General features: G+C 33.3%; 1 protein-coding gene across 1 annotated transcript; it reads left to right on the top strand.

Moving 5' to 3' along the window:
* Positions 4,728 to 5,867, top strand: TAS2R10 (taste 2 receptor member 10). Its single transcript, NM_023921.2, has one exon. The coding sequence runs from the start codon at positions 4,817 to 4,819 to the stop codon at positions 5,738 to 5,740; it is 924 nt and encodes a 307-aa protein (NP_076410.1). The 5' UTR covers positions 4,728 to 4,816; the 3' UTR covers positions 5,741 to 5,867.
* Positions 5,868 to 14,840: the final 8,973 nt, after the last annotated feature.

Genomic DNA, 14,840 nt, shown 5'->3' with positions numbered 1-14,840 from the left:
GCACTCTTAGCTACACAGGTAGGCCTCAGAGAGAAGTCAACAAGAAGTCTTGGTGTAATCTTTCTTGCTTCATCGTACTCTTTTTTTGTATATGTCCTGTGTCACTGAGTAAGTACCATTTAAATTCTTCCTGGGCCTGGCCGGGTGCGGGCTCAGGCCTGTAATCCCAGCACTTTGGGAGGCCGAGGTGGGCGGATAACGAGGTCAGAAGATCGAGACCATCCTGGCTAGCACGGTGAAACCCCGTCTCTACTAAAAATACAAAAAATTAGCCAGGCGTGGTGGCGGGTGCCCATAGTTCCAGCTACTGGGGAGGCTGAGGCAGGAGAATGGCGTGAACTCAGGAGGTGTAGCTTGCAGTGAGCCGAGATCGCGCCACTGCATTCCAGCCTGGGCGACAGAGAGAGACTCTGTCTCAAAAATAAATAAATAAATAAATAAATAAATAAATAAATAAATAAATAAATAAATAAAATAAAATAAATAAATTCTTCCTGGGCCAGGACTGACCTCTAAAATAGTTTTTAAAATATTTTAAAGAGAAAATAATCACCTATATATAAAAAAGAGGTGTGAATAAGTTGTAATCCACTCATTCAGATCTACAGAAGGTGGATGTTAGAAATTTAACAGAAGTAAGCAAAATAGAATGAAAACCACTTATTTCCTCTAGGTAACAATCTTGTCTCTGTAATAATATGGATTTAGCCAGTTACTTTATGTTTTTTGTTTGTTGTTTGTTTGTTTTGAGATGGAGTCTCACTCTGTCGCCCAGGCTGAAATGCAGTGGCACCATTGTTTTTGTGAATATTTTTGCTGCTGATGTAACTGCAGAAATTAGTCTAGAACTTGTGGAAGTTGTTAAAACCCTTTCATAAGAGCCCAGTTACTATTGCACAATCTAAGGCATGTAGAGTTAACATACCTAGAATGCACATCAAAATGGTCATTAATCTCATTCATGAGAGGTCTGCCCTCATTACCTCCTAAAGGAACCATCTCTTAATACTGGCACACTGGCAATTAAGTTTCAACATATAGACTTTGGAGGAGACACATGCAGATCACAGCAAAGGGGTTTTTAAATCTTTGCTATGCCTATCACTTGCTTTAGTTCTGTTAATTTTGCTTTATTTATTTTGAGTCACAATTATTAGTCTGATACACCTTCAGGATTGTTAAGTATTTTTGATAAATTGAATATTTTATCATTATACAACTTCCCTCTATTTTTCTACTACTTGTCTTGATAATATAGCCACTTTGAGAATAGAACCAGTCCTGCTTTCTATGGTTACAAATTCCATAGTATAGCTTTTTCTTTCCTTTACATTCAATCTATCTGTGCCTTTATGTTTAATGTTTTATCTTCTAGGCATAACATTTAATTGTGCTTTCATTTATTCATTCTGATGATCTCTATCTTTTCATCAGAGTGTTTAGTCAAATCATGTTTAATGTAATTATCAGTATGGTTGGCTGTAAGTCTTGCATTTTGCTCAATGTTTTTCATTTATCTCACTTATTTTTGTCCCTCTGTCCTTTTTCTGGCTTTCTTTTGTGTTAATTGACTGTATCTTCAATTATTTCATTTTAATCTCACAATTGGCTTTTAAAACTCCATTTGTTATAATGAATTATTCTTTTATATATCGCTGGACTCTATTTTGTTTGGAATTTTTGCATCTATGTTCAGGCTATATTAGCCTGTAATAGTCTTATAAGTATTCTTGATGAAATTTTGTATAAAGTTGTTCACAGTATTGTCTTATAATAAAAGATTATATACAAGGATATGTAACTATATTATATAGTATTATATATATATATATATGTATATGTATATATATATATGTATATATATGTATGTATAGAGAGAGAGAGAGAGAGACAGAGAAAGAGAGAGAGAGAGATGAGGTCTCACTCTGTCACCCAGGCTGGAGTGCAGTGGCCCAATTATAGCTCACTGCAAGTTCAAACTCCTGGGCTCAGGCAATCCTCCTGCTCGGCCTCCCAAGTAGCTGGGACTACAGGTGCACACCACCATGCCCTGCTAAATTATTTTTATTTATTTATTTTTTTTAGTAGAGATAAGGTCTTGCTATGTTTCCCAGGCTGGTCTCAAACTCCTGGACTCAAGTGATTCTCACACCTGGGCCTCCCAAAGTGCTGAAATGACAGGCATTAGCTACCACACCCAGGCCATATTTCTGATATCTCTAAGGACTGTAGTAATTTGTATTTTCTTTTGACCAACATTAGTATATTACTGTACCTAATTCTTTTCTATCGGTGATTTCTGCTGTTACTATAATTTCTTGACTTCTATTTTCTTTCACTCTTAGCTTTCTAGCTTCTTGAGATGAAAACAAAATTCATCTGTTTTTACCCTGCCTTTCTAAAAGATGCATTCAAGGCTACAAATTTCCTTCAAAGAATGGCTTTAATTGGATTATGTAAATTTTAATAGGTCATTTCTTTATTACACGTTGAGTATCCCTAATCCAAAAATCTGAAATTTGAAATGCTCCAAAATCTGAAACTCTTTGAGCGCTGACATGACGCTCAAAGGATATGCTCATTGGAACATTTTGGATTTCAAATTTTTGAATTCGAGATGCTTAATCAGTATGATGCAAATGTTCCAAAACTTAAAAAAAAAGAAAAAAAAATCCGAAATCCAAAGCTCTCTGGTCTCACACATTTCAGATAAGGGATACACAACCTGTATTATTTACTTAAAAATATTTTTGTAATTTTTGTTATTTCTTCTTTGACTCAAGAGTATTTACAGGTTTTTTGTCTTAGTAAATTGTTTCTTTCTCTAGTTATCTTTTTATTATTGAACTTCATTTTATTCCTTTGAATTCAGAGAACATTCAACACTTGTGAGATATTCTTTTGGATTCATGATCAGTCTTGGTAAAAATAGTCTATGTGCACTTGAAAAGAATATGAATTATTTTACCGTTGAACACAAGTTTGTCAATTGTTTTTTCATGTATTTTCCATCTATTGATTTTTGGTGTTTCTAAGATGAGTTATTGAGTTATGTATTTTACAGTCTTTCATTGTGATTGTAGATTTGTCTTATTTTTCCTTTTCTGTAAATGTTTGGTAGATTATTTGGTTCATAAATTTTTGGGATTACCCTACCTTTCTGTAGATTTGAGCATTTTTATCACTATAAAGTACACTCCCCATTTCTTCTCTAATGCTGCTTCTTACCTTAAAGTCTGCTTTATAGAATATTGTTATAATTATGCCAGATTTCTTTTGGATGATGTTTGCATGGCTTATTTTTCCATAATTTTACTTTAAAGTTTTCCTTTTCTATATTTAAATTGTGTTTCTTGTAAGCAGTATACAGTCAGAGTTTTAAATTCTTCTTTGTTACTATTAATTTTTTACTTGGAGTATTTAGTTCATTTACATTTTATATAATTATATTCTCCATTTCTAGAAGTTTTTTCCCCAAATGTTCCAATTTCTTTCTAACAGTCTCTTGCTGCTCTTCTCTGAAATTGCATCTTGTTTTTTGTAAACAGTGTATACATTAGCTAATTTATCTATACATATTCTTATCTGTCAATTTCAGTATGTGCAGCCCATGAGAATTTAAGTTTTCTACTTGCTTTTGGTTGGTTTGTTTTGTTTTGCTATCATTTGTAGTCTATTCCTAAGCTTAATTTAACTTCATTTTGAAATCATTGTGCAATTTTATTTATGGTAGTCATGCCAGGATAAGTGAGAGAAGGTCTTCTTTTCTCCAAAGCTTAGTTTATTCATATTTAATGTAAATACAAAAATAGCCCCTCTTTTAAAGGATTGAAGGCTTGTGAAATTAAGATGAGAAAAAGATACTTAACATAGCGCTAGGAATATAATAAAAGCTCAATAAATGTTAGATTTCACTTTTAATTTCACTTTTAATTCTTAGATCAGTATGTTGATTTACTTAATTGTTTCCCACCTCCCTCATTAGAATATACACTCCATAAATCACACAAGTTTTGAAATTCTGTCTACCACTATATTCCCTCAAAGATCAAAAGAGAGCTTGTTGTATCTAGACATTCAGTAAATACTTGTTGGATAAATGAATGGGTGCCAGCAAACAGTAATGTGTTAAATGAAGAGATTATTCCTAAGAGCCTTTCATGTCAAGGGTAGTCAACATAATCTTCTGCATTCAAGGGTGTAATAACCATAAGTATAAAACAACAGCAACAGATTTGTGACATATTTGTGAAACTTGTCATACCTAGAGTTGAGCTTAAATTTTAATTAAAAATTAAATCGATCATTTAGAGTAAGTATCTACAGTGGCTAAATTTGTTTTTCATTTCTATATAGTATTTTCTGTACATATATAAATTGATTATAAATGACATAAATAATGATTTGATATTTTAAAAGATAAAGTCAAAATTTTTGTTTCTGTTTTGCATTACATTCTATAGGTATATGTTTGGCACTCCTCCTCCACAATTCAATTTATTAAATGCAAAATAGTCTCAGGAGGACATGTAAAATCCATGAAACAGAAACTTTCATTTGCATTTTAACAAATTATAGATAGGCATTCAGTCTGAACATACATTCTCCAGACTAGCTATGTTTTGTAGACATATTTGGAAAGGTCTTCATTAAGAAATTTCTGATTCCATCTCAAGCCATTACTGGGGCAATTTCAAGTCTTTATATAATGAAAGAGAAGAAAGTCACACTTCCGTCGAGCAGCCAATATATGCCTCATTCTGCAGCAGGTAATCTAAGATAGATGTAACAGAAGCAATATTAAGAATTAGCAGATATGCTACGTGTAGTGGAAGGCATCTTCATTTTTGTTGTAGTTAGTGAGTCAGTGTTTGGGGTTTTGGGGAATGGATTTATTGGACTTGTAAACTGCATTGACTGTGCCAAGAATAAGTTATCTACGATTGGCTTTATTCTCACCGGCTTAGCTATTTCAAGAATTTTTCTGATATGGATAATAATTACAGATGGATTTATACAGATATTCTCTCCAAATATATATGCCTCCGGTAACCTAATTGAATATATTAGTTACTTTTGGGTAATTGGTAATCAATCAAGTATGTGGTTTGCCACCAGCCTCAGCATCTTCTATTTCCTGAAGATAGCAAATTTTTCCAACTACATATTTCTCTGGTTGAAGAGCAGAACAAATATGGTTCTTCCCTTCATGATAGTATTCTTACTTATTTCATCGTTACTTAATTTTGCATACATTGCGAAGATTCTTAATGATTATAAAACGAAGAATGACACAGTCTGGGATCTCAACATGTATAAAAGTGAATACTTTATTAAACAGATTTTGCTAAATCTGGGAGTCATTTTCTTCTTTACACTATCCCTAATTACATGTATTTTTTTAATCATTTCCCTTTGGAGACACAACAGGCAGATGCAATCGAATGTGACAGGATTGAGAGACTCCAACACAGAAGCTCATGTGAAGGCAATGAAAGTTTTGATATCTTTCATCATCCTCTTTATCTTGTATTTTATAGGCATGGCCATAGAAATATCATGTTTTACTGTGCGAGAAAACAAACTGCTGCTTATGTTTGGAATGACAACCACAGCCATCTATCCCTGGGGTCACTCATTTATCTTAATTCTAGGAAACAGCAAGCTAAAGCAAGCCTCTTTGAGGGTACTGCAGCAATTGAAGTGCTGTGAGAAAAGGAAAAATCTCAGAGTCACATAGACACCTTGGGAAGAGATGGATGTTCCACGAAAGGAATCCAGTGAATAAATCCTTGAAGATCTGTTTCATTGCACTGCATTCTTGCATTGTCTTTTTAACTGTGTCATTAAAGATCACTGAAATCTTCCATAATTGTTTTGACTATGTTTCAGGGAATCTCAGTCTTTGAGGAGATTTTAATCTCACATGCAAATTCAGTGGCTTAGTCAGCTTCCCCACCCTGCAACTTCTTCCTACAAACTTCCTAGAGGAAGACCATCAGCCTGGAGACTATTCGCTGTAAAGATTATAACGGTGAGAATAAGCTCTAAAATAAAACTTCTTGTTGTGCTTTACCTGACTTTTCTGAAGCAAGGACACCCATTCTCCCAGAAAACCCAAAGGAAAAAAAAGAAAGAAAGAAAATTAGATCAATCTTGACATTTAGAACATGGAAGTGAGGATAGATGGTGGTACTTCTTTACAGAATGCTATTTTAATTATTTAAAGGTTTTTTTTTCATTTTTTAGAATCTAACATCCTTTTTTACTGGTGTACGATGTGTAGCAAGTAGTCAGAGGAGTAGATGTAGTTCTGTGAAATATAGTTAGGGAAACAAGGGTCTAGTTGAGGGATATGGGATCAAAACACTGATGAAATAAATATGCTCTTCAAAATCAGTGATTTGAGATAAGGCAGGTTATGAACCAATTAAAGTTGAGTAAAGATTTTTCTAGAAGCATCGATCCAAAGGCTGCAAGATTCAACACAGTCCCTGACCAAAGGACACAAGATGAACACAGGATAGAATCTGGGTGAAATATGAAATGTTCTGTCTTCAGGCTTCATACACACACACACATAAACATGCACACACACACATTCATATACACAAACTTGCACTCACAGAAACGTTTCAAATTTTGAGTTTTAAAGTTAACTTTTATGTCCAACCCAGGTTATAAACTCAGTGACTTATTTTGGCAACTTCCGAAAGTGCCTTGATCTCATACTTATGGCCTAATGAGTGGAATATTTCCAAATATAAGGACTTAATTAATTTTCTATGTCAGGTTTCCAAATCAATATTTTTATATTTTTAAACTATTGTGTTTAGAATGTACAGATAGTTAAGAGATAACAGAAAAAAAAACCTAATGCTGCTGCCTATTTCAACCAAATATACCAGGTTGGCTCATTTGAAATTATATTGTATAAAGAACTATGTTCTCTGTATAGATTATGTTGATTATGTAGAATTTATTCATTTTCCCATGTTTTCAAAAATTATTTGTAATAATCTTTTTAAGGGGTACATAATAACTCCCCTTGCAAATATACAATAATATACTTAGTGTTTATCATATCGTTTACGTTTAAGTTGTCTTCAGTTTTCCACTTTTAGAAATAAACATAATATGAGTATTATAGAGAGTGAATACTATTCATTCATATGAATACTATTTGAATGCTAACTTGGCTAGGTATTGAGGATATAGTAGTGAACAACATACCAATATAATGGATAATATATTCTAATAGAAAACAAATGAATAGCTAGCTAACTTAAACAATGATATTTATGATATTGGGAGAGAAAAACTATAGGATGCTGACCTGACCTGGTCATGAGAATGGACAAGATGTCACTGTGGTTAAGATGGTTTAATTTGATATCTTAATAATGTGTAGGAGTATGGTGGACAAAAGAGGAGAAATTTGGGGTGGGAAACCATCATGTCAAGGCCTTGAAGCAAGAAGGAGTAGAGGGTAGTCCAGAAACTAAAGGTCCAGTGTGACTAATATATAGAGACAGCAGTATGTAAATTATTTTTAAGGAAAATTCCAATGGGGAGAAACTTGATAAATTCCTTGCAGAATTGATAAATTGCTCTGTAGATATAATAAACCTATATGTTAATAGTGAAAAAATATCCGTCCTGTTGCAGTCTCAAAATCAAACAGGTTATTATTTTTAATGTCACTACTTTGATTGCAAAAATATCTTTACTTCACATATATTTGATTACTAGTGAAGTTAAGCATTACTACGGGATTAACCAATAGCATATACTTTTTGGGAATTGTTCATTTGTTTTCTCCTTATTTTTTCATGTCTTATAGTTTTTCTTACCAATTTTGTGACTAGTTTATACATTAACACTATGCCATATATGTGTTATGATTTTTTCTTAATTTGCTGTTTAGTAAGTAACTAGTTTGTAATGTTTGGGGCAATAGGTGGGTAATTTACATGATCTCATATTGATTTATGTTTTCTTCTGCTATTTTTGCCAATATTAGCTTATTTTTACTGATACCTGTTCCTTTCATCAAAAGCTCCATTTTGTACTATAAAATACAGTTTCATCTAAAATTAGCAAACACAAAAATATATAAAGAAGAAATTGATTATGCACATTTGCAGTACTCAACTAACCATTGTTAACATGTTTCTACATACGTTGTAAAATAGATCTCAACATAGATAGATGACAGATAATAAGCATGTTACTTAAAAAATCTGTTTTGATTAGATTTATACATAAACTGGATGTCTAGGTTCTTTACCTGTAGATATTGGGATTATAGATAATTTTTATTTTCTTGTAGTATTATGTAATTTTCTATGCAATAATTTATGTCATATGAAAAATATAATTAAATAAAAGATGAGGCCTGTGAAAAAATATCTGTTTAGTCATACTTGCTTTGAGAAACAAGGGAAAGAGAAAGAACCTTCCTTAGCATTTGCACAGACTGCAGAAGCTCTAATTCTGATATCTGCTGCCTTTGTAGCTCTGATTACTAACTTTGTTGTTTGTACTAACTTTCAATTATATTGGTTTGGTCCTCACATGTTTTATGATTTTATTTTGAACTCAGTTTTATTAGAATATTATCTGTGGGAATTCTTTGAGATCAGGTTTACAGTGACGTCTGCCAGAAAAAGTTTGACTTTGTAAAGGCTGACTGGGATCACTTCCAGTATCAACTTCTTTAAGCTAAACTTTTCAGTTTGTAATGATTTAGGCTATGTAGAATTCAACTTCTAGCCCCAAATATACATGAGTGAAAGGCTATTATAACAAATTCTTAGAGCAACATTCCTCTTTCATTCCCCTTTACATTCCCCTTTCAATTCACTGCCCTGGCTGAGTGTTAAGTATTCCTACTTTAGCCTTTTGTTGGACGTATATTATTTTCTCATTTGCCTATTAAGGGTTTGCCTTTCAGGGATCTTGGCTTGTTGATAGTATCCAATCTCACTTCTAACTTTGGAGAAGTCCAAACCAGGTATCTTATCCAACATGCATATGGTCTTTTAAAACATAAGCACTGGTTTATGAATGGATGAAGAAAATGCTGTATATGTACACAATGGAATACTGTTTAGCCATAACAGTTTTTTTTAAAAAATGAAATGTCATTTGCTACAACATGGATGGAAAGGAAGACATTATGGTACCTGAAATAAGCCAGAAACAAAAAGTTAAGCGCCACATATTCTCGCTCATATAAGGAAACTAAAAAAAGAAGATCTCATAGAAGTAAAAAGAAGAGCAGAGTATACCAGAGGCTGGGAAGGATAGGGGTTTGTAAAAGTATACAAAATACAGCTAGATAGGAGGAATACGTTCTAGTGTTTTATAGGACTATAGGATGACTATAGCTAACAATAATACATAGTTTTAAATACCAGGAAGGAGGATTTTAATATTCCCAACAAAGAAATGATAAACGTTTAAGATGATAGATCTTCTTATTAACCTATTGAATCACTATACATTGTATGTTTCAAAACATCACTATGTACCTGATAAATGTGTACAGTAATTATTATATAACGTAGGAAAATAGCCTATTGCGTAGAAAGAGTGATGCCATCCTGAAGCGAAACTACCACAACGACTGATGTTTAACTCCTGCATGCCAATGTGTTCTGCAGCAAGTTCTTTAAATAATTCCTGTGACATAGAGAGCCCCTCATAAAGATGCTTATCTAACCTTCTTAATGGTCATAAGTTTTAGCAAGAGAGCCTGAGGTATGAAGAGCTGCACATGTTTTACCCAAAAAGCTTAATATATAAAGGATATTTTCTGGAGGGCGGCTGTGGGGATCCAATATCTTGCGGCCACCCAAGACATTGCCTCTGTTTATAAGTTCCTATTAAATATTGCTTTCTTTTAAAAAAGATTGTGTGTGTATATATATGTATAAGATATATATGTATAAGATATATATATGTATAAGATATATATATGTATAAGATAGATATATATATGTATAAGATATATATATCTTTTGCAGCAACTTGGATAGACCTGGAGGCCATTATTCTAAGTGAAGTAACACACATGGCTGGAAAACCAAAACTGTATGTTTCAGTTATAAGCGGGAGCTAAGCTATGAGTGTACAAAGACATACAGAGTGATATCATGGTCTTTAGAGACTCAAAAGGGGGAGGCTGGAAGGGAGGATAGGGATAAAAAAGCTACATATTAGGTACAATTTACACTACTCAGGTGATGGGTGCACTAAAATCTCAGAATTCACCACTATATAACTCATCCACGTGACAAAAAAACACTTGTACCCAAAAAGTTGTTGAAGTAAAAATTATAAATAAATCAATAAATATTTCTTTTTGAGAAACTGGAATTGTTAGACTCTTTCTTTGGCCTCTCAGCTCCCTCAGCCTTTAGGGATAGTTTTGCATATACCTTTTCACTGCGGAACATCAATTTAAAAACATAACAAAATTAAAAAATACTTACACACTGGTTTAAAGGAGAGTGACAATGCCGTCTCCTCGATAAACTCCTCTATCCAACTCCAAGATAGTTAGTTAGGGACTAACTCTATCTTCAGCACTGTTTCCTCTCATGATTTGCACTTTCCTACTATTTTTGGCATCTGAGGATTCTTTTTTAACTCTCTTGACAGCTGGACCATACACTTTAAAAATATTTCTGAAGGCTTCTTTTTCAGTATCTTTATGTTTTCCTGACTGGAAGGATTTTTCCAGACATCTGGTTTTTCATATATTTTTATACAGATTTTTTTAATTTATAAAAATAATTTTAACTTCTATTTTAGATTAAGGGGTACAGGTGCAGGTTTGTTAGTAGGTTATATTCCTTGATGCTGAGGTTTGGGGTATAATTGAACCCATCACCCAGGTAGTGAGCATGGTACTCAATAGGTAGTTTGACAGTCCTTGCCCCCTGACCCCTGCCATCCCTCCCTCTCCACTTAGTCGCCAGTGTCTATTGTTCCCATTTTTACGTCTGTGTGAACCAATGTTTAGCTCCCGCTTATAAGCAAGAGCACGTGATAGTTGGTTTTCGGTTTCTGTGTTAATTTGCTTAGGATAATGGTTTGCCATACTTTTGAAGGCAAAAGTTGTTTGTTTCACTAGCTTTGTCCAATCTTTCTTTTTTTTTTTAGTAAAGGTATTCAAAATTGTATGTTTTCTGCCCAAATATCAACTTATATGTATTCCACAAATGTTGGCACATGGTTCTTATATTGTATTCAATTCAAATAATTTCAAAATATTCTTTACACTTTCCTTTTAATGCAAGAGATATTTAACAATAATGAGATTTTTAAAGGTAACTTTTGTATTGATATCTTATTTTATTTGAGTCAGACAGCATATGTGTATGATATTTGGCCTAGGATAAGATTCATTTGGCCCAATACATGATCCATTTTTGTGAATGATTTTCTTTAAATGAGTTTGATGTGTTAAAGTTAAATGTATATGCATTAGATGAACAATATTAATGATATTACTTGTTTACGTCTTTAATATATGACAATTTCCAATAGTTAAATTAGTAAACCTACACTTACAATTACTGATTTATTTCTTTATGCTCATAATTATTTTATTTGTAGTTGCATTTAATTTGAAGCAATGTTGATAATTGCATTTTTATTCATGGTCATTACTTTTTTATGGTTATTTTTACTGATATTAAAAAAGTTTGCCATGAAAATTTTTGCTTTAAATTTTATTTCACCCTTGGTAAATTCCCTAATTTTGTTACATTTTATTTTATTTTATTTTGATACATAATATTTGTTCAACTTTGTAAGGTATATGTGATATTTTGTTTCATGTATATAATGTGTAATAAAAGTCAAGATATTTAGGATCCATCACTTCAAGCATTTATCATTTCTAAATTGTGTGTTTTCCACCTCTGCATTTTCAACACTTCTGCATTTTATTTTTAAATGTCTCTTGTAGAAAACAAATATTTCATTTTTGACACTTTATTTAATAATGTAATCTCAAAATTACTATTGAGAAACATTTTTACACTCAATACAATTGTGATTGCATTGTTTTCTATCTTCTCATTTCTTCTTTTTACTCTATTTTAATGCTTTATTGCAGATCTTTTTCCTTTCCTGTTTCTATTGATATCAAATTTTCATGTGCTGGGTTTAAAATTGGTATCTTTATGTTCATTTCATATAAAATTAAAAGTTTAACCTGTTCTTATCTAATGACAGTCATTTCCATGCTGCATGTTTTTATGGTCTGGAATATTAATTTTTTAATTTACACATTTATTTTGTTTTAATTTTATTGTGATAACATTTATATAACAAATTTGTCATTTTAACCATTTTAAGTGTACAATTCTGTGGCACTAACTACATTCACAATGTTGTGCAAGCATCACCTCTGTGTCCAAAACTTTTACATTACCACAGATAGAAACTCTGGACTCATTAGGCAGTAACTCCCTATTTTTCCTTTCCCACAGTTCCTGGTGACCTCTGATCTCCTCTTTGGCTTTATGAATTGGCCTAGTCTAGGCAATTCATATGAGTAGAATCACACAGATTTTCTCATTTTATGTCTGGTTTAGTTTACTAAGCATGTTTTTAAGGCTCACCAATATTTTAACATGTATCAGACCATCATTCTTTTGTATGACTGAATAATATTTTATTGTATGTATACACCACAATTTGTTTAGATATTCATCAGTTGAAAAACACTTGGGTGATTTCTACCTTTGGGCTATTGTGAATTATGCTGCAATATACACTGGCACATAAGTATCTGTTTGAGTTCCTGTTTTCAATGTATACTAGGAGTGAAATTACTGGATAATACAGCAATTCCTATGCTTAGCTTCTTGTGGAGTCACCAAACTGTTTTCCACAGTAGATTTATCGTTGTACATTCCCACCAAGAATGTACGAGAGTTCCAAATTTTCCACATCCTTGCCCACCCTTGTTATTTTCCAGGATTTTTACTATAGCCATTCTAGTGGATGTGAAGTAATACGTGACTGTGGTTTTGGTTTGCATTTCCCCAATGACTAATGATGCTTAGCGTCTTTTTATGTGTTTACTAGACATTTGTAAATCAATGGAGAAATGTCCGTTGAGATCTTTTGCCCAATTTAAAATTGGATTTTTTGTTGGGTTGTAGAGGTTCTTTACATATTCTGAATTTTAAGCCCTTCGCAGATATATGATCTGCAAATATTTTCTCCCAGTCTATACATCGTCTTTTCACTTTCTTGGAGTGGCTTGTGATACACAAAAGTTTTATTTTGCGTGAAGTCCAATTTAAGTATTTTTTCTTTTGTGGCTTACTTTTTTCATGTCATATGTAAGAATCCATTGCCAAATCCAAGGTCATAAAGATTACCACTAAATTTTCTTCTAGGTGTATTTAGTTTTAGTTGTTATATTTAGGTCATTGATCCATATTGAGCTAAGTTTTGTATATGACGTGAGTTAGGGGTCCAACTTCATTCTCTTGCATGTGGATATCTAATTGTCCTAGCATCATTTGTCAAAAAGACTCTTTATGCCCTAATGAATTTTTACACACTTGTCAAAATCAATTAGTCATAGATATATGGGCTTACTTCAAGACTCTCAATTCCATTACATTGATCTATATGTCTATCCTTATGCCAATAAAACACAGTCTTGATTACCATAGCTTTGTAGTAAGTTTTATACTTGATCTTAGCCAAAAGGCTGAGAAGTAATGTAGTGAATTTTTAAAATATTAAGTGTGAGCCTTCCAACTTTGTTCTCCATTTTTAAGATTGTTTTGGAAATTCAAGGTTTCTTGTAATTTCTTATGGATTTGAGGATCAATTTTTCTGTTTCTGAAAAAAAAAGTCTGTGAGAATTTTTAATAAGGATTTGAATGAATCTGTAGATTTCTTTGGCACCTCCTCTTTCTGTCTGTAGAGCAAAAGCAGATGAAAAATTAGGAGTATCTGACTTGAGGGTCCCAAGAGCCATATCTGAGGACAGGATGTAGTGAGCGGTCTTGGATGGAGAAGAGGCATAGTACCTCCCACCTGCCCTAAAGGACATGGAATTCCATGATGCCACTCTTTCCTGCTTCTGGGTCCCTGTAGTCTTAGAGCCAGAGCCCACAGAGCTGGGGGTGGTGGCATTGGGGCAGATCTGGATGCAGCCCAAGGTACAGCCAGGAGTGATTATGACTCCTAGAGAAGCTCCTAAGGTGGGGAACAGAATATGTCAAGGTGCAAAATTTCTCAGCATGTCATTAAAGGTTTTTGGTTGCAACAGAAATGAATGTAAGCAGGAAAGGAGGAAGGAGTTTTATAGTTAGGATGTTGAGCCATCTGTCCTAAAGTTAAGAGGAGTCCAATCATCTTTAGAAAGAGTCAGGACTCAGTCATGACTGAGATAGACCCGAAGACCTCAGACATGGGAAGGAGTGGGTGTTCTTTCTAGCTTATGCAGCCAATGTGACTCAGTTTCCACAACTGCCATTCTCTGTGTTTCCAAGGTCAAAATTCCAAATTCCTCACAGAGACTTATTTATTCATTCATTTGTTCATTAAATATTCATGTAGCCCCTACTGTGTGGTAGGCAGAATTCTAGACACTAAAGATACAGCACTGATCCAAGGAGACAAAAATACCTATTTTACATCTTACATTGCAGTGGGCACAGAATAAGATTGGCTCCACTTGGGTTAGGTATCCACCCCTAATTCAATCAGCTGTGGCTAGATGGAGTTCCTGAGCCAAAAGGCTTCTCCCAGTGGGTTCTACTACAATGAACAATTGTTGTTTAAGACACACATGG

Source organism: Homo sapiens, chromosome 12 (genome assembly GCF_000001405.40).
Source record: "Homo sapiens chromosome 12, GRCh38.p14 Primary Assembly".
NCBI lineage: Eukaryota > Metazoa > Chordata > Mammalia > Primates > Hominidae > Homo > Homo sapiens.
This window is presented reverse-complemented; position numbering and strand designations above follow the sequence as displayed.